Consider the following 21,607-nt stretch of genomic DNA (forward strand, 5'->3'; position numbering starts at 1 on the left):
ATAGCACTAAGAGAAATACCTAATGTAGGTGACTAGTTGATGGGTGCAGTAATCCACCATGGCACGTGTATACCTATGTAACAAAACTGCACATTCTGCACATGTGCCCCAGAACTTAAAGTATAATAATAAAAAATGAAATAAAGAAAATGTGTATGTATACACCATAGAATACTAATCAGCCATGGAAAATAAAGAAATCCTGTCATTCATAGCAGAATGGATGGAACTAGAGGACACTGTGTTAAGTGAAATAAACCAGGAACAGAAAGTTAAACACTGCATGTTCTCGCTTATGTGAAAACTAAAAAAAATGTTGACCTCAGAACAGACGATACAAGAAGCTGAGAATGGCTGGGGATGGGGAGGTTAGGGAGAGTTATGTTAAAGGATACAAAATTACAGCTAGATAGGCAGAATAAGTTCTAATGTTCTATAGCAATGGTCTCCAAGATGTTTAGCACCAGGCACCAGTTTCGTGGAAGACAATTTTTCCATGGACCGTTGCTGGGGGCTGGTTTCAGGATGAAACTGTTCCACCTCAGATCATCAGGCATTAGTTAGATTTTCTTAAGGAGCAGGCAACCTAGATCCCTCACATGTGCAGTTCACGATAGTGTTTGTACTCCTATGAGAATCCAATGCCACCGCTGATCTGCTGATCTGACAGGGGGCAGAACTCAGGCGGTAATGCTGGCCCGCCTAGCCGCTCACCTCCTGCTGTGCAGCCCAGTTCCTAATAGGCCACAGACCAGCACCTTGCATGGCCTGAGGGTTGGGGACCCTTGTTCTATAGCACTGCAGGGTAATCTATAGTTAACAACCATTTATTGTATATTTTCAAATAGCTAGAAGAGAGGATTTTGAATGTTCCCAACACAAAGAAATAGTAAATGTTTGAAGTGATAGGCTAATTATCCTGCTCTGATCATTACACATTGCATACATGTTACGTGTGCTTTCATTTTCTTCGGAAGAGACAGACTAAATAAATGAATATGGTGATATGTGCTTTAAAGAAAATGAAACAGTATGATATAATAGTAAATGTGAATACTATTTTAGATTGGTTAGTTAAGGAAGGCCTCTTTGGGGAGGGAACATTTGAGTTGATATCTAGACCTGATTGACAGCCATGTAGAAATCTCGGGTAAGATATTCCAGGCAGAGGGAAAAGCTATGCAAAGACCTTAAAGCAAGAATGACCTTGGCATGTTAAAGGAAAAGAAAGAAGGCTCATGTGGCTGGAACCTAGGAAGTGAGTAAATGGTTAGTAGGGGCTAGATTGTGTAGGACTGTGCGTACATAGTAAGGATTTTAGATTTTATTCTATGTGAAAAGTGAGACTACTGGAGAACATTAATCAGGGGCACAGAGTGATTAAAAGTTTAGCACTGGGAGAGAAAAGTTGGATGATTATTTGAAAAGGAGACTTGGATGAATTCTTTCACCCACATGACCTTGTCTTCTCATCTCTAAAGGTGAGGATAATAATAGTTGCCTACCTTCCAAGATTGTCAAGAATTTCATAACTGGAAAGAATCCTAGAAAATATCTAACCTAAATCCTCATAAAGAAGTTGACGCTCAGCCAGATTAAACCACCTGCTTATCTTCAGATAGGAGGACAGAGCTAGGAGGCTCCAGAATTTTGTTTCTGCTTTGTTTTCCTAAATGCCATACTGTATATTCAGTATTTCAAATGATACTGGGAATGAACGCAAAGGGATTTTGCAAACCTTAGAGTACAATACAAATGTAAGAGATAATTGTTTTCAGGATACTGGGCTCTGAGAGAACAAAGTTATCATAAGGAATAGATTATTTGGGAAGAAAAGCACTGATAAACAAGTTGTACTGATTTTTCAAATGCTTTGTCTAGGAGCCACCACAGTCATGTCCTGAATGGAAACAGGACTGAAACCCAGTGAAGAGAAAATAGAGGTTATTCTGACCATGAGAAATAGCACAAAAGACTCCTTTTCTCTCCTGTAGTGTCTCCACTAGAAGTGCAAAGAGGCTTTTTGCCTCTCTTTATTTTATTTTGTTTTTTTGAGACAGAGCCTCACTCCGTCACCCAGGCTGGAGTGCAGTGATGCCATCTCGGCTCACTGCAATCTCTGCCTCCTGGGTTCAAGCGATTCTCATGCCTCAGTCTCCCAAGTAGCTGGGATTACAGGTGCCCGCCACCATGCCTAATTTTTTATTTTTATTTTTGTTTTTAGTAGAGACAGGCTTTTTGTACCACATTCACCAGGCTGGTCTCAAACTTCTGACCTCAAGTGATCCACTAGCCTCGGCCTCCCTAAGTGCTGGGATCACAGGTGTGAGCCACTGTGCCTGGCCCTCCCTTAACTTTAGAAGAGCAACTCTTTATTTGTGCTGATGCAGGGTCCAAGTAGGCAAAGAGACAGTTAAGAGCAGAGCCCATAAATGTTTACTCTTCAGCAACCATCTTTCAGGAGTGGAATAAAAACAACATCAAAATGGGACATCTGGTGGTATCATAATCACCATAGGCAGTTGAAATTGTATTGCTTTCTTAGTAGTTTCTAGATAAAAAAGAATATTTTATTCCAAAGGTATTTAACCAATTAAGCTGTCATTAGAAAATATTGAAAGTGTAATTGTTAATTACACCAACACTAAATCCTACAACAAAATTACCTTGGATTATCTTTCTAACCTTTTATTTTAATCTATTTTAATCTTTAACATTTTATTTTATTTCATTTATAGAGGCAATTCTCTTTGGATATAAACTTCTTCATTTGAATGTCAGACTTTGCAGATCAAAGTCTTTTATCTCTGTTCTGTTGGGTAACGTGGCACACATAAGTGGTGTAGCCAATTTACCTTTACCTTAAACTTGTTCCCTTAAGAACTGTTTTTTTCTTGCCACATACAAGATTGATGAGGATGCGGAAAATGAGACCTCAGTGGGGAAAAAAACAAGAATATTGCTATAGGCTTAATCGTAATTTATATATTTAAGGATGATGGGAAAGATGACCACTTCTGCAGCAAATGTTTAGCTTCTTTCTTTTGAAATAATCTGAATACCTATCAGGTGCTCCCTTTAATTAAGGAGAAAATTGCAATGGAAGGTAGAGATGTAATATTATCTTATTTGCTACATTATAAGAATCCAGTTATTGACAGAAAGGTCAATTCTAGGATGCTGCTCCTCTCTACAGCTAACACATCTTTAGAATTAGATGTTAAATGAGAAATTAGTTATTTAGAGTGAATAATTGTCTTAGCTTGGGCTGCTCTAACAAAATACCATAGACTGGATCGCTTGAACAACAGATGTTTCTCTCTCTCAGTTCTGAAGGCTGGAAAATCCAACATCAAGGTTCTCTGGCTCCTGGTGAGGACCTACTTCTGGCTTGCACATGGCTGCCTTTTTGTTGTATCCTCACTTGGCAAAGAGAGTGCTTTGATCTCTTCCTCCTCTTATAAGGACACTAATTGCATCATGGAGGCCCCACCCTCATGGCCTCATCTACACCTAATTACTTGCTAAAGGCTTCACCAGCAGATTTCATCACATTAGGGGTTAGGGGTTCAACATATTGATTTTAGGACGCATTCAGTCCTTAAGAGTGGTGATGATGGAGGCTGTAAGGAATGCTAGTTTGTCTTTTAATTAATTACTTAACTTAGTATTAGGAATCCAATGTGGAAAGGAATAATTGTTTGACTGTGACACTAGGTCCCTTTTTTGGTTTTCAACCTCTCCCTTAGAGCCTGCTCCAAGTTTTCCTCAGTGAGGCCTTTTGCTGGATTGGTCTGAGGAACAATTCTGGCTGGAGGTGGGAAGATGGATCACCTCTAAACTTCTCAAGGTAAGGGGCTTCAAAGGAATGCAAAAAAAGAGAGAGAGGAAAAAGGAAAGCCAAATTATGATACTTGGGGAATAGATAAAGAAGAGCAGATGGAGAGGAGAGGAAAGAATGAAAAGGAGAGGAAATAGGGAACAAGGAAGGGAATGAACAATGGGTAAGGGCAAAAAAAAAAAAAAAAAGGATAACATTTTAAAGAGAGGCTGATGAACAATTTTAATTCTTCTGCTGTTTGGGGGAATTAGGGGCCTGAATAGGGAGACAGAATTTGCTTCATTTTTATCCCTTCATGCCTTTCAACTCCTTTTCTGTGCATGCGGCCTTAAGTGATTGACTTTTCTGATTTCTTACAGGATTTCTTCTAATAGCTTTGTGCAGACATGCGGTGCCATCAACAAAAATGGTCTTCAAGCCTCAAGCTGTGAAGTTCCTTTACACTGGGTGTGTAAGAAGGTCAGACTTTGATAGATGACCACTCTGTCCTGACCCTCAGATCTGTCATGTATCCCTAAAAGGAGGGAGCTGGCCACTGGCTGTTGGGAAAGCCATGAGTATATAGTTAGCAAATACTGAACTTTCTCAGATATGGCATTAGATGCAAGACAACCTCCTAGGGATTGATGCCTAACTGATGGATTCTCTTTGAGACTATTTAGATATTATGTGAGCAATTTAAAGACCAGATCTAAGCAAATTTTGAAATAGATGTTTGTTTTTTGTATTTCTCAGTATGGAAACTAATGCTGCCACTCTCATCCCCGTCCCAACCATCTCTGTCAAAAATATACCTTTTTCATATGATATTCTGAGCTAATCTGATAAAATCTATGCCAATATATACTATTGCTTGTGTACTAGAGAAGTACATTATTGCTGTACTCCTCTGTACATTACTGATCCCTGATGGTATATTTCTATCCTAACAGTGTCCCTTTGCAGATCAAGCTTTATTCTGAAGAATAAACCTAGCTGGCATGCTGGTGTGTACCTGTAGTCCTAGCTATTTGGGAAGCTGAGGTGGGAGGGTCGCTTGAGCCCAGGAGTTTGAGGCTGCAGTGAGCTATGATTGTGCCACTGTACTCCAGCCTGGGAGATAGAGCAAGACTCCATCTCTAAAAAAAAAAAAAAATGCTAATGTGAGAATATAAATTGTGGGAAATGAGTGAGGGCAAGGTGGTACTTCCTCCTTCTGAGCTCTTCACACGTAATGCAAAAACCCGGTCTTAACTGATTTTGTTTTTTTTCTGAGTATGCATATATGTGGTTGAATGAACCAATGTGTGATTGTATCTTTTCCATTATGTGACTGTTTGACCTGCATATTAATTTCAAGATAGCAGTCAATTCGATAAGGCATTTTCATAGAGGAAAGTTTACAGAAACAGTTTATGTGGTTGGATCACCAAATTATCTTAGGTACTAAGGCCTCAAAAATAAGAAAAACTTTATTATTTCTCCTCAGTAGAGTTTGGACATACATAAGGAGAGAAGGTACAGTGATGAAGGAGACCATAATTCTGTAGTGTTGATGATCCTGGATTATAATCTTTTTCTCTTTATCTTTCATAGTTTTTTTAAAAACATGGACTGTATCTTATCTACCACTATATCCCAAATACCTAAGATAGTGCTTACGTTCAGTGACTATTAAATAAATAAATGGATGAATTAAAAAGTAAGAATGAAAACTGTTCATTCTAGTTATTTCTGTTAGCCCATAAATTAGAGGAATTGAAGATGAGAAAAACAGTATATCCTAATCCTCCCTAACTCACCAATATGAGTCTTCAGTAGCTAACTCTACAAAGGCAAAGGGCCAGTTAATCTGGATACAATGCTCATAGAAGGAAGTCGTGGAAACAAGCTCCCATCCCCTAGTGATCTCTTCCCTTTGGTTCTGGTGCAGGAAGTATCCCTTAGTTATGAATATTTTGGTAGTGACTCTCAATTAAGGATGTAATGATAGCGATTCCATGTGGGCCATGGCTTGGCTACTACAGGGTGCACAATTTCATTTACTTATTGAAAGATAAGAAAAGGAGAACTACAGTCGGGTCTTAAATTCTCATCTGAGCAGGCAGGATGTGTGCAGACCTCCTCTGTGACTAGGGTTCAGGCCTTTTATAAGGATTCATCCACCTATTGTCAGAATTGGGTGTAGTTCTTCACTGCTTTGTCTCCCTTAAGGTTGTTACAAGAGAAGTAACAGTTTACTTCCTGGTTGCTTATTTATTCCTTAGACTTATTTATGAAGGGCTGGGGTCAGTTAGTAACTCAATTCTTGCACCTTACCTAGTGAAATAAAGTTTGGTAAAACTAGAAACTAACATTTTTTGATTAGCACTTACATTGCACAGTGGACTTCTTTGATGAACATTATACATTAAACATATCTGGGACATTCAGTGTTTGGAATAGGACATTTATTAAAGATAATAACAGAGCAGTCACAAAATTAAAATGAAGAAAATCCAGGAACACACAGGAGGAGGTGGAGCAAGAACAAGAAGCCTCCACTGATTTTTCCCCCGCAGGAATACAAATGGAACAATTATCCGCAAAAGAAAGCACCTTCATAAGAACCAAAAATCAGATGAGCAGTCACAGTACCTGGTTTTAACATCATATCAACAAAAGAGGCACTGACGAGGACAGGAGAGACAGTCTTGATTTGCCAATGCCACCCCTTCCCCATCTCCCAGCAGCACAGTGTGGTGTGGAGAGAGAGTCTGTGCTTTGGGGAGGAAGAGTGCTGTGATTATGGGACTTTGCAGTGGAACTCGGTGCAGCTCTGTCAAAGCAGATAGCGACATGGGACAGAAATCAGCCAGTGCCCACAGAGGGAGCATTTAGACCAGCCCTAGCCACAGGGGAATGGCCCATCCCAGTGGTCGGAACCTGAGTTTCTGCTAGTCCCACCACTGCGGCTAAAACACTCTGGGATCCTAAATAAACTTGAAAGGCAATCTAGGCTACAAGGACCACAGTTCCTGGGCAAGTCCTGGTGCTATGCTAGGCTCAGAGCCAGTGGACTTGGAGGGAATGTGACCTAGTGAAACACCAGCTGGGTGGCCAAGGGAGTGCTTGTGTAACCCCTCCTCCGACCCCAGGCAGTGGAGCTTGCAGCTCTGGGAGAGACTCCTTCCTTCCACCTGAGGAGAGGAGATGGAAGAGTAAAGAGGACTTTGTCCTGCAATTTGGATACAGCTCAGCTACAGAAGGATAGGGCACCACCACGCAGAGTCCTAAGGTCCCTATTCTGGGACCTAGTTTCTGGATGATATTTTAAGACCCACTCTGGACCAGAAAGGAATGTGCTGCCTTGAAAGGAAGGACCCAGTCCAGGCAGGATTCATCACCTGCTGACTAAAGAGCCCTTTGGCCCTGAATAATCAGCAGCAGTACCCAGGCAGTGTTTGCCATAGGTATTGGGTGAGATCCAGTGCCATGCGGCTTCCAGTGTGACCCAGCACATTGTTAGCTATGGTAGCCATGGGGAGAGACTTCTTCTGCTTGAGGAAATTAGAGGGAGTTTGGACATAGATAAGGAGAGATTTAACCCAAGACTAATGGGGACTCTGTCTTGCAGCTTAGGTATTAGCTTGGCTACAGTGGGGTAGAGCACCAAGTAAGCACCTGGGGTCCTTGATTCCAGGCTCCTGGACAGCATTTCTGGACCTGCCCTGAGTCAGAGGGGAGGGAGCCCATTGCCCTGAAGGTAGAGACCCAGGCCTGGCAGCATTCACCATAAGCTTACTGAAGAGTCCTTGGGCCTTGAGGGAACATTAGTGATAGCCAGGTAGTGGTTACCACAAGCCTTGGGCGAGACCCAGTGCTATGCTGGCTTCAGGTCTGACCTAGTGCACTCCAAGTTGTGGTGGCCACTAGGGTACTTGTGTCACTATTCCCCAAGCTCCAGATAGCTCAGTATGGAGAGAGAGACTCCATTTCTTTGGGGAAAAGTAACAGAAGATAACAAGAGGCTCTGCCTGGTAATCTAGTAAATTCTCCTGTATCATACCCAAGACCACCAAGGTGGTACTTCTATAAGTCTGCAAGAGTCACAGTGTTACTGGGTTTGTGGTGCTTCCTAATGCAGATATAGCTGCAGTGGCCAAAGACTTAGATCATAACACTCAATTCCCTTTGAATGCTTGGAGAGTTTTCCCAAGAAGGATGGGTACAAACAAACCCAGACTGCAAAGACTATAATAAAAACCTAACTCTTTAATGACCAGACACAAATAAACATCCACAAGCATCAAGACCATCGAGGAAAACATGACCTCACCAAATGAACTAAATAAGGCACCAATGACCAATGCCAGAATGCAGAGATATGACCATTCAGACAGAGAATGTGAAATAGCTGTTTAGAGGAAGCTCAATGAAATTCAAGGTAACTGTGTTAGTCCGTTTTCATCCTTCTGATAAAGACATACCTGAGACTGGGCAATTTACTAAAAAAAAAGAGGTTTAGTGGACTCACAGTTCCATGTGGCCGGAGAGGCCTCACAATTATGGTAGAAGGTGAAAGGCACATCTCACGTGGCAGCAGACAAGAGAAGAGAACTTGTGCAGGGAAACTCCCCTTCATAAGACCATCAGATCTCATGAGACTTATTCACTATAATGAGAATAGCATGGGAAAGACCCACCCCCATGATTCAATTACCTCCCACCAGGTACCTCCCACCAGGTCCCTCCCACAACATGTGGGAATTGTGGGAGCTATAATTCAAGATGAGATTTGGGTGGGGCATAGCCAAACCACATCAATAACATAGAGAAGGAATTCAGAATCCTATCAGAAAAACTTAACAAAGAGAACAAAAATTTAACAAAAATAAGTTTGAAAAATCAAGCAGAAATTCTAAAGCTGAAAAATTCAGTTGACTTACTGAAGAATGCATCAGAGTCTCTCAACAGCAGAACTGATCAGTTAGAAGAAGGAAGCTCAAAGACAGGTTGTTTGAAAATATACAGGCAGAGGAGACAACAGAAAAAAGAATAGAAAAGAATGAAGCATGCCTACAAGATGGAGAAAATAGCCTCAAAAGGCCAAATCTAATTGTTTTGACCTTAAAGAGGAGGTAGAGACAGAGACTGGGGTAGAAAGTTTATTCAAAGGGATAACAACAGGGAACTCTCCAAACCTAGAGAAGAATATCACTATTCAAGCACAAGAAGGTTATAGAACACCAAGTAGACTTAACTCAAATAAGACTACATTTAATAATTGAACTTCCAAAGGTCAAGGATAAAGAAAGGATCCTAAAAGCAGCAAGAAAAAAGAAACAAATAACATACAAAGGAGCTCCAATATGTCTGACAGCAGACTTCTCAGTGGAAACCTTACAGGTCAGGAGAGAGTGGCATGATATATTTAAAGTGCTGAAGGAAAAAAACTTTTACCCTAGAGTAATGTATCCAGTGAAAATATCCTTCAAACATGAGGGAGAAATAATGACTTTCCCAAACAAACAAAAGCAGAAGGATTTAGTCAACACTAGATCTGTTGTATAAGAAATGCTAAAGGGGGTTCTTCAATCTGAAAGAAAAGAACATAAGATGCAATAAGAAATCATCTGAAGGTACAAAACTCACTGGTAATAGTAAGTACACAGACAAACAGAATATTATAACACTGTAATTGTGGTGCATAAACTACTCATATCTTGAGTAGAAAGACTAAAAGATTAACCAAAAAAAAAAAACTACCACAACTTTTTAAGACATGGACAGTACAATAACATAAATAGAAACAACAAAAAGTTAAAAAGTGGTGGCATGAAGTTAAAGTGTAGAGTTTTTATTTGTTTTCTCTTTGCTTCTTTGTTTATTCAATCAGTGTTAAGTTGTCATCAGTTTAAAATAATGGGTTATAAGATATTATTTGCAAGCCTTATGGTAACCTCAAATAAAAAAACATACAACAGATACACAAAAAATAAAAAGCAAGAAATTAAAACATACCGCCAGAGGAAATCACCTTCACTAAGAGGAAAACAGGAAGGAAGGAAAGAAGGAAGAGAAGACCGCAAAACAGCAAGAAGACATATAACAAAATGGCAGGAGTATGTTTTATCAATAACAATATTGAATGTAAGTGAACTAAATTCTCCAATCAAAAGACAGAGTGGCTGAATGGATAAAAACACAAGACCCAACAATCTGTCACCTACAAGAAACACATTTCACTTATAAAAACACAAGTAGACTGAAAATAAAGGGAGGGAAAAAGATGTTCCATGCCAATGGAGACCAAAAAGAGCAGGACTGGCTCTATTTACATCAGACAAAATAGATTTCAAGACAAAAATTATAAAAAGAGACAAGGTCTCTTTGACCTTATGATAAAGATGTCAATTCAGCAAGAGGATATAATAATTAATTGTAAATAAATATGCACCTGACACTGGAGCACCCAGATATATAAAGCAAATATCAGAGCTAAAGAAAGAGATAGACCCCAATGCAATAATAGCTGAAGATTTCAACACCCCACTCTCAGCATTAGACATATCATCCAGACAGAACATCAACAAAGAAACATCAGACTTAATCTGTCCTATAGACCAAGTGGACCTAATAGATATTTACAGAACATTTTATCTAATGGCTGCAGAATATGCGTTCTTCTCCTCAGCATATGGATCATTCTCAAGGATAGATCATATGTTTGGTCACAAAACAAGTCTTTAAAAGTTCAAAAAAATTGAAATCATGTCAGTTATCTTCTCTGACTATAATGGAAAAAAACTAGAAGTCAGTAACAAGAGGAACTTTGAAAACTATATAAACACATGGAAATTAAACAGTATGTTACTGAATGACAGGTGAGCCAATGAAGAAATTAAGAAGGAAGTTAAAAAACTTCTGAAAATAAATGATAATGGAAACATAATACCAAAATCTATGGGATACAATGAAAGCAGTACTAACAGCAAAGTTTATACCTAAAACCACCTACATAAAAAAGTAAAAATGCCTCAAATATACAACTTAACAATGCGTCTTAAAGAACTAGAAAAGCAAGAGCAAATCAAACCCAAAATTAGTAGAAGAAAAGAAATAATAAAGATCAGAGGAGAAGTAAATGAAATTGACATGAAAAAAGATACAAAAGGTCAATGAAACCACAAGTTGGTTTTTTTGAAAAGATAAAATCAGCAAACCTTTAGCCATACTACGTAAGAAAAAAAAGAGAGACGATCCAAATGAGTAAAATCAGAGATAAAAAAAGGAGACATTACAACAAATACAGCAGAAATTCAAAGGATGATTAGAGGCTACTGCAAGCAACTATATGCCAATAAATTGAAAAACCTAGAAGAAATGGATAAATTCCTAGACAGATAAAACCTACCAAGATTGAACCGTGAAGAAATTCAAAACTTGAGCAGACCAATAACAGGTAATGAGGTTGAAGCTGTAACAAAATGTCTCCCAGGAAAATAAAGCCCAGGACCCAGTGGCTTCACTGCTGAAATTTCCCAAACATTTAGAGAATAACTAATACCAATCCTACTCAAATTATTATATTTTATTTTATTTTGAGACAGTGTCTTGCTTTGTTGCCCAGGCTGGAGTGCAGTGGCACGATCTCGGCCCACTACAACCTCTGCCTCCTGGGTTCAAGTGATTCCTCATGCCTCAGCCTCCTGTGTAGCTCAGATTACAGGTGTGCGTCACCACACCTGGCTAATTTTTTCATTTTTAGTAGAGATGGGGTTTCACTATGTTGGCCAGACTGGTCTTGAACTCTAGACTGCAAGTGATCCACCTGCCTCAGCCTCCCAAAGTGCTGGTATTACAGGCGTGAAACACTGTGCCCAGCCCTCAAACTATTTTAAAAAATAGAAAAGGAGGGAATGCTTCCACACTCATTCTATGAGGCCAGTATTACCCTGATACAAAACCAAAGACACACTTTAAAAAATTTCAAACAGGGAGGCCAAGGCGGGCAGATCGCAAGGTCAGGAGTTCAAGACCAGCCTGACCAACATGGCGAAACCTTGTCTCTACTAAAAATACAAAAATTAGCCAGGCGTGGTGGTGGGCATCTGTAATCCTAGCTACTCGGGAAGCTGAGACAGGAGAATCACTTGAACCTGGGAGGTGGAGGTTGCAGTGAGCCGAGATCATGCCATTGCACTCCAGCCAGGGCAACAAGAGTGAAACTCCATCTCAAAAAAAAAAAAAAAAAAAAAAAAAAGAAAAGAAAAAAAATCCCAAACAAACAAACCCAAATGTAAATATCCCTGATAGACATTGATGCAAAAATTTCCTACAAAATATTGGCAAACTGGGTTCAACAACACATTAAAAAGATCATTCATTATGACAAAATGGGATTTATCCCAGGGATGCAAGGATGGTTCAACATGCACATATCAATCAATGTGATACATCATATCAACAGAATGAAGAACAAAAACCATGTGATTATTTCAATTGATGCTGAAAATGCATTTGATAAAATTCAACATCCTTTCATGATAAAAACAGTAAAAAATTGGGTATACAAAGACATACCTCAACACAATAAAAGCCGTATATGAGACAGACCCACAGGTAGTATTATACGTAATGGGGAAAACCTGAAATTGTCTCCTCTAAGATCTGGAACATGACAAGGATGCCCATTTTCACCACCGTTATTCAATATAGTACTGGATGTCCTAGCTAGAGCAATCAGACAAGAGAAAGGAATGAAGGGCATTCACATTGGAAAGGAAGAAGTCAAATCATTCTTGTTTGTAGATGATGTGATATTGTATTTGCAAAAACCTAAAGAGTTCACAAAAAACTATTAAAACTGATTAACAAATTCAGTGAAGTTGCAGGATACAAAATCAGCCTACAAAAAATCAGTAGCATTTCTATATGCCAACAGTGAACAATCTGAAAAAGAAATCAAGAAAGTAATCCTATTTACAATAGCTACAAATAAAATAAAATTACTAAGAATTAACAAAAGAAGTGAAAACCATACAGTGAAAACTGTAAGACATTGATGCAAGAAATTGAAGCGAACACAAAAACAGTAGAAGGATATTCCATGTTTATGGATTGGAAAAATCAACACTATTAAAATGCCCATAGTACCTAAAGCATCAGATCAGATTTAATACAATTCCTATCAAAATACCAATGACATTCTTCACAGAAATAGAAAAAGTAATCCTAAAATTTATATGGAACCACAAACCCAGAATAGCCAAAGCCATCCTGAGCAAAAAAAACAAAAACAAAAACAAAAACAAAACTAGAGGAATCATATTACCTGATTTCAAATTATATTACAGAGCTATAGTAACTAGAACAGCATGGCACTGGCATTAAAAACAGATACATAGACCAATGGAACAGAATAGAGAACTCATAAGTAAATCCATACATTTACAGTGAACTCATTTTCAACAAAGGTGTGAAGAATAAACACTGGGGAAAGGACAGTTTCTTCAATAAATAGTGCTGAGAAAACTGGATATTCATATGCAGAAGAATGAAACTAGACCTTTCTGAGGCTGAGGTGGGAGATCATTTGAGCTCAGGAGTTTGAGACCAGCCTGGGCAACATAGCGAGACCTCATCTCTATTTAAAAAAAAAAAAAAGAAAGAAAGAAAGAAGGAAGGAAGGAAGGAAGGAAAGAAGGAAAGAAACTAGACCCTCCTCTCTCTTGATATACAAAAATTAAATAAAATTGGATTAACAACTTAAATAAAAGACTTCAAATTATGAAACTACTAAAAGAAAACATTGAGGAAACTCTCTAGGACATTGGTCTGAGCAAAGATTTCTTGAGTAATACCCCACAAGCACAGGCAACCAAAGCAAAAATGAATAAATAGGATAGCATCCAGTTAAAAACTTCTACCCAGCAAAGGAAACAAAGTGAAGAGATAACCTATGGAATGGGAGGAAACATTTGCAAACTATCCATCTGACAAGGGATTAATAACCAGAATATATAAGGAGCTCAAACAACTCAATAGGAAAAAAATCTAATAATACAATTTAAAAATGGGCAAAAGATCTGAATAGACATTTTTCAAAAGAAGACATTGAAATGGCAAACAGGTATATGAAAAGGTACTCAACATCACTGATCATCAGAGAAATCCAAGTCAAAACTACAATATTGTCTCATCCCAGTTAAAATGGATTTTATCCAAAAGATAGGCAATGACAAATGATGGTAAGGATGTGGAGAAAAGGGAACCCTCATACACTGTTGGTTGGAGTGTAAATTAATACAACCACTGTGGACAACAATATGTAGTTTCCTCAAAAAACTGAAAATAGAACTATCATATGATCCAGCAATACCACTGCTAAGTATATACACAAAAGAAATGAAATCAGTATATTAAAGAGATATCTGCACTCCCATGTTTATTGCAGCACTATTCACAATAGCCAAGATTTGTCAGCAATCTAAGTGTCAATGAATAGAAGAATGGATAAAGAAAAATGTGGTACATATACATGAGGGAGTACTACTCAGTCATAAAAAGAATGAGATCCTGGCTGGGCACGGTGGCCAGGATGATAGGATGAATATGTTCTCTTATATATCCGTACTCCCATCTTCCCCACCTCAGGAAATGGCTCTACCATCTACTCAGTTGTTTAAATATCAAACTGAAGAAATTTCTGATTTCTTCCTTTAAAAAGAAAATACAAATAGAGATGGGGGTCTCACTGTGTTGCCCAGGCTGGTCTGGAACTCCTGGGCTTACACAGTCCTCTTGCCTTCGTGTCCCAAAGTGCTGGGATTATAGGTGAAAGCCACCATGCCCGGCTCTTCCTTTTTTACTCACTGCATCAGAAAACTTTCTTGTCTCTGTTAACAAAGTGTATTCTAAATCTCACTCTTTTCCTCCATTCCCACTTTTCAACTCTTTCCAAGCTACTGTTGTTTTTCACCTAGGTTACTGTGACAGATTCTTAATCATTCTTTGTATACATATATATATATATACACACACACACACATACATACATATATAAAATTTTAGGGATGGGGTCTTGCTGTGTTGCCCAGGTCTTGAACTCCTGGGCTCAAGTGATCCTCCTGCCTTGGCCTCCTGAGTCTCTGGGATTATAGGCACGAACCACAATGCCTGGCACTTCTTCCTTTAAAAAATAACTTGATTAAGGTACAATTGACATACAATAAGTGGGATATATTTAAAGAGTAAAATTTGATAAGTTTTGATAGGTGTATATATCCATGAAATCACCACCACAATCAGCAGAGTGAATATATCAATTTCTCACAAAAGTTTCCACATGACTTTTCATAATTCCTCTCCCTTTCCTCCCTGTCCCCTCAACACTCATTACCCCCGGAATTCCCAATCTACTTTCTGTCACTATATATCAGACAGCATCTTCTAGAGTTTTACAGTACATAGAGTTTTATAGAATCATATAGTATGTACTTTTTTTTCTGGCTTCTTTCACTCAGCATAATTATTCTGAGATTCATCCATGTTGTTGTTTGCATCAATATTTTACTCTTTTTTATTGCTAATATTCTACTGTGTGGATTTACCGCAATTAATTTATCCATTTACTCTTTGATGGACGTTTAAGTTGTTTCCAGCTTTTGGCTATTAAAAATAAAGCTGTTATGAACATTTGGATACGAATCTTTGAATGGACATAGTCTTTCTTTTTTCTTGGCTAAATGCCTAGGAAGTGGCATGGCTGGATCATATGGTAGATGTATAGTTATGTATTAGTTGAAAACAAGGATGCCTTCTGAGAAATGCATCGTTAGGCAAATTCATCATCGTGGCAACATCATAGAATGTACTTACACAAACCTAGATGGAAGAGCCTACTACATACCTGGGCTATATGGGACAGCCTATTGCTCTTAGGCTGCAAACCTGCACAGCAAGTTACTGTACTAAATACTGTGGACAATTGTAACACAATGGCAAGTATTTATGTATTTAAACACATCCAAGCATAGAAAAAATACAGTAAAATACAGTATAAAAGATAAAAAATGGTACACCTGCATATGACACTTACCATGAATGGAGCTTGCAGATTACAGTATAAAAGATAAAAAACGGTACACCGGTATATGACACTTACCATGAATGGAACTTGCAGACTGGAAGTTGCCCTGAATGACCAATCGGTAAGTTAATGTAAAGGCCTAGGGCATTACTCCACATTACTATAGACTTTATAAATATTGTACGTTTAAGCTACAGTAAATGAAATAATGAAATAACCTTAGCTTACTGTAACTTGTTTACTTTATAAACTTTTACATTTACATTTTTAAAAACTTTTTTACTCTTTTTTTTTTTTTTTGAGACACAGTTTTGCTTTGTCACCTAGACTGGAGTGCAGTGGCATGATCTCAGCTCACTGTGACCTCCGCCTCCTGGGTTCAAGCGATTCTCACGCCTCAGCCTCCCGAGTAGCTGGGCCTACAGGCGCACGCCACCATACCCAGCTAATTTTTTTTTTTTACTCTTTTTGTGATACACTTAGCTTAAAATACAAACACATTGTGCAGTTGTACAAAATATTTTTCTTTATATCCTTATTCTATAAGCTTTTTTCTATTTTAAAACTATTTTTAATTTTTAAACTTTTTTTTAAAAAACAAGACATAAGCATGCACATTAGCCTCGGGCTACACAGGGTCAGGATCATCAGTATCACTGTCTTCCACCTCCACATCTTGTCCCACTGGAAGGCCTTCTTCGGAAGTAAGGCATGGAGCTGACACCTGCTATTATAACAATGCCTTCTTCTGCAACACCTCCTAAAGGACCTGCCTGAGGCTGTTTTACAGATAACTATTTTTTTTTCTTAATAAGTAGAAGGAATAGACTCTAAGATAATGATTAAAAATATAAGAAATAGCTGGGTGCCATGGCATGTGCCTGTAATCCTGGCTACTTGGGAGGCTGAGATGGAAGGATCCCTTGGGCCCAGGAGGTTGAGGCTGGCTGTTGAGTGATATGATTGTGCCTGTGAATAGCCACCACATTCCAGTCTGGGCAACATAGCCAGACCCCATCTCTAAAAAACCAAAAGTATACTAAATACATAAACAATAACAGTTGTTTATTATCATTATGAAGTATCATGTACTGTACATAATTGTATGTGCTATACTTTTACGTGACTGGCAGCACAGTGAGTTTGTTTGCACCTGCCTCACCACAAATACCTGAGTGTTTGTGCAGTGTCTTGAGCTACGACTTCATGGAATCACGAGGCAATAGAAATTTTTCAACTCCATTACAGTCTTATGGGAACACAGTGTATACATGGTTCTTTGTTGACAGAAACATTGTTATGTATATATGGTTCATTGTTATGTGTGCATGACTGTATATATTTGGTCTTCCTCCCATTTCCTGACATATAGCTTCTAAAATCCTTGGGATCTCCGGAGTGGTAAGAGTGTCTTATGTATGCTCATGAATGACTGGTGGCTGGAGGCTCCTAGATAGTTTTAGGATCGGGGGTGGTCACCAATAAGACCAAGGCATGATCAGAGGGCTGGGATTTTTAGCCCCACCCCTCAACTCCAGGGATGTTGAAGGTTGAGTTGATCAATGGCCATTAATGATGGCCAATGATGTAATCAATTATGCCTCTGTAATATATGCCTACGTGTGCCACTCCTCAACTCCAGGGATGTTGAAGGTTGAGTTGATCAATGGCCATCAATGATGGCCAATGATGTAATCAATTATGCCTATGTAATGAAGCTTCCATAAAAACCCAAAAGAACTTGTTCCAAGAGCTTCTGGACAGCTGAACAGGTGGTGGTTTCTTGCAGGTGGTGCACCTGTGTGGGGCCTGGAAAATCTGTGCCCCTTCTCACATGCCTTACCCCATGCATCTCTTCCATTTGGCCGTTCATCTGTATCTTTTGTAATATTCTTTAAAACAAATGAGTAAATGTTAAGTGTTTTCCTGAGTTCTGTGAGCCATCCAGCAAATTGGACCTGAGGAGGGTGTCAAGGATACCTAGATTTAGAGCCAGTCAGTCAGAAACTCAGGCCACATCCTGTGCTTGTGACTGGCATTGGAAGTGGGAGACAGTCTTGTCAGGCTGAGCCCTGACCTTTTGGGATCTGATGGTATCTCCAGGTAGATAGTATCGGAATTGAATTGAGTTAGAGGACACTTAGCTGCTGACCTCTGGAGAATTCACTGCAGAATCGATTGCTTGCTTGGCATGTGGGGAAAAATCCCTACACATTTGGTCACAAAAGCATTTTGTTGTGAGAGTATAGTATGGGAGAAACAGATTTTGGTGTTTTTTTTCCTATTCAATCTTTTGCATTATAGCTTATTCTTTTTGTATGTTGTTAAGGAAATCTTTGCCTAGTCCAAGGCCACAAAGGTTGCCTTAATGAATTCTTCTAGAAATTTTATAATTTTAGGTTTTACATTTAGGTCGGTAATGTATTTCTATTTAACTTTTTTTTCCTTTTTTTTTTTAAGAGATGGTCTTGCTCTATCACCCAGGCTGGAGTGCAGTGGCACCATCATAGTTCACTGTAGTCTTAAACTCCTGGGCTCAAAATCCTCTTGCCTCAGCCTCACAGCTAGCTGGAACCACAGGTGAATGCCACCATGCCTGGCCAATTAAAAAAAATTTTGTAGAGATGGGGTTTCACCCTGTTGCTCAGACTTGTCTTGATCTCCTGGCCTTAAGTGATCCTCTAGTCTTGGCCTCCTGGGCTGCTGGGATTACAGGCATGAGCCACAGTATCCAGCCTGTTTTTATATAACTTTTATACATGGTGTGAGATATAGGTTGAGGTTTTTTTTTTCTTATAAATGCCCAATTATTTTAGAACCATTTATTTAAATAAGTATCCTTTTTCCATTGAATTCTTTTGGCACCTATGTTGAAAATCAATTGATCGTGAACACATGGATTTTTTTTTTTTTTTTTTTTTTTTTTTTGAGCCAGAGTCTCTCTCTATTGCCCAGGCTGGAGTGCAGTGGGTGATCTCAGCTTACTGCAACCTCCTCCTCCCAGGTTCAAGTGATTCTCCTGCCTTATCCTCCTGAGTAGCTGGGATCACAGGTGTGCACCACCATGCCTGGCTAATTTTTGTATTTTTAATAGAGACAGGGGTCACTATGTTGGCCGGGCTAGTCTCAAACTCCTGACCTCAGGTGATCCGCCCACCTCAGCCTTCCAAGGTGCTGGGATTACAGGTGTGAGCCACCGTGCCTGGCCAACACATGGGTTTATTTCTGCATTCTCTTCTGTTCCTTTTTAAAATATATCTATCCTGTCACTTCTACCCCACTGTAATTTTATAGTAAGTCTATAAGTAAGAATATAGCGTAGTATAGTTCTCCAACTTTGTTTTTCTTTTTAAAAATTGTTTTATCTGTTCTTGGTCCTGAGGGTTTTACTACAGATTTTAGATAAATGTTCTTTTCATACATTTTGCGTATGTGTGAATATAATGGGGGAAATCACTGAGTTAATGGCAATATGCATTTTAAATTTTATAAGATAGCTTTAAATGGCCCCACCAATGTAAACTCTCCAGCGATGTATAAATTTGGGTGCCTATTTCTTTATACCCTCACAAGGCAGAGATAAGGTGAACCCCAGGCTCTTCATGATTATGATGACTTCACCCCTGGTTCCATTTTTGAAGGATAATGAGGGGTTTTTACCTAGAAGGAGGTCTTTCATATTCTTCACACTGGAACATCTACAATACACATCTTTCCCTTGCTAGTAATGCTCTCACAGGGCAAAGTTTTGGTGATAGTAAAGTCTTTATTTCTATATTAGCACTGAGAAGGGAAAGGAAGTAAAGAAGAGGGAAGAAAACTGGTGGCACAGAGGAAAGAGCATAAAAATGATGTGGTAAAAGCTAAAGAAGAAGTGGTTTTCAAGGGGGAGGGAGCACTTACTAGAACAAAATGCCAAAGAGTTGTAAAGTAACATAATGAGAGGAGAGTATTCAATGGAAATGGCAATATGAAGGTCATGTTTATCATTCTTCACTGGTGTGGTGGTGACAGGTGAAATTTCAGCAGGCTGATCATACAAGGTAAGGAAATGGAAACAATGAGTTTAGATGGTTTGAAGTCTGGTTAAGACAGGAAGGAAAGAGATAATATCTAAGTAGAGTCATATGTCGGGTCAATAGATCTTAAAATACAGATAGAAGACAGTAACACATTTTGTAACTTGAGGTAACAAAATTATGTTGAAAGGGAGAGATTAAAAATGCATGTGGGTGTGGCTGGGTACAGTGGTTCATGCCTGTAATCTCAGCACTTTGGGAGGCCGAGGCAGGCAGATCACTTGAGGCCAGGAGTTTGAGATCAGTCTGGCCAACATGGTGAAACCCCGTCTCTACTAAAAATACAAAAATTAGCTGAGCACGTTAGCACATGCCTGTAGTCCCAGCTACTCAGGAGAGTGAGGCACGAGAATCACTTGAACCCAGGAGGTGGAGTTTGCAGTGAGCCGAGATCGTGCGACTGCACTCCAGCCTGGATGACAGAGTGAGACTTCATCTCAAAAAAAACCCAAAAAATATGCATGTGAGAGAGGATGCTTTATAGACCAAGATTCTTGAGTCAGTGGATGAATATGAAGCTGACTGGACAACTGGAAGAAGTAACCTTGGGTAGAAAGAGTGCCCCTTCCCCATGGAAGAAGGAAAGATGGGTGAGGATTCTGATGGGTTTATTACAAGTGATAGGGAAGTAAACTGTTATTACCTGGTGAACTTCATTTTCTCAGTGAAATCAAAGACAAGGTCATATACTAAGAAGGAGAGAGGAAATAATAGGTTTGGGGGTCTATGGACAGCAGAATTTTTGAATAATCACAAAGGGGAAAGAGAGGCATCTGCCTAGAGACACGACATTGCTGGGCAGCCCTGCGAGCTTGGGTGAGGCAGGGGGCCGAACATTTTCAGTGATTTCAATCTGTACTATTGCACGGTTTTTGGCAGCAGCCTACATGGGATTTGTCATAATAACAGAGAAATCAAATAGCAAGAAGGATGGAGGGAGAGGATGTTACAGAATGGTTTCAGGGGAAGAGAAAAGGTGTCAGAAAAGAGAAGTAGCCAGAAGTAGGCAAGAAACCCAAATAATAGGGTCCCTGAAGTGAGGGACATGTATAGGAAAAGATTTGGGAATAATAGTGTAGGAGATGAAATAAAACACCACAGTGAACATTTTTGTACATGTATTCTGTTTTCTCATGTTTTGAAAGCATGAGCCAAAAACGTATGCCAAAACAAAAATGTTAATAGATACCACTGGATTACTTTCCAAAAAGACTGAAGCAGTTTTACTGCCACTGGCAACAGATGAGGGTACTAGTCCTAGGTCCTTCTCAGCTCCATGTGTTCTCAATGTTTTAAATTCTGGCTAATTATTATTATTACTATTTTTGTGGGGGAAGAAGGATGTTATAGCTTTGTCATCATTTGTGCTTTCCACACTATTAGTGGCTTTGAGCATCTTCTCAAGTAAGTTAGTTATTTGTATTTCCTCTGAGTTACATGTTTATATCCTTTGGCTATTCACTCTATCAGGGTTTTTTTCTTTTTTTCTTTTTTTGTCTTTTTTCTTATCAATATGTAGGCACTCTTTGAGGCACATGCCACCTGCTTATTTGTCAGTCATATGTGTTGCAAATATTTTATATTATTTGTTTTCTTAAAACATTATGGAGTGTTTTTTTCCTTCTATTCATACAT

General features: G+C 39.0%; 1 protein-coding gene across 13 annotated transcripts in view; it reads left to right on the forward strand.

Moving 5' to 3' along the window:
* The window catches only part of KLRG1 (killer cell lectin like receptor G1), a 265,527-nt gene that overhangs the window by 55,182 nt on the left and 188,738 nt on the right, over positions 1 to 21,607 (forward strand). For 8 of the 13 annotated variants that reach the window (NR_137426.2, NR_137427.2, NR_137428.2 and 5 more), the window contains 2 exons: positions 3,750 to 3,850; positions 4,201 to 5,526. Coding sequence is in view for 10 of the 13 variants with exons in the window: in XM_047428075.1 (XP_047284031.1) it covers positions 3,750 to 3,850; positions 4,201 to 4,312 (213 nt within the window). In the remaining 3 variants the exon portion in view is untranslated. Of the gene's footprint in view, positions 1 to 3,749; positions 3,851 to 4,200; positions 5,527 to 21,607 lie in introns of those variants that run through there. The other 5 variants (XM_017018685.2, XM_047428074.1, XM_017018684.2 and 2 more) reach the window with 2 other exon arrangements.

Source organism: Homo sapiens, chromosome 12 (assembly GCF_000001405.40).
Source record: "Homo sapiens chromosome 12, GRCh38.p14 Primary Assembly".
Classification (NCBI taxonomy): Eukaryota; Metazoa; Chordata; class Mammalia; order Primates; family Hominidae; genus Homo; species Homo sapiens.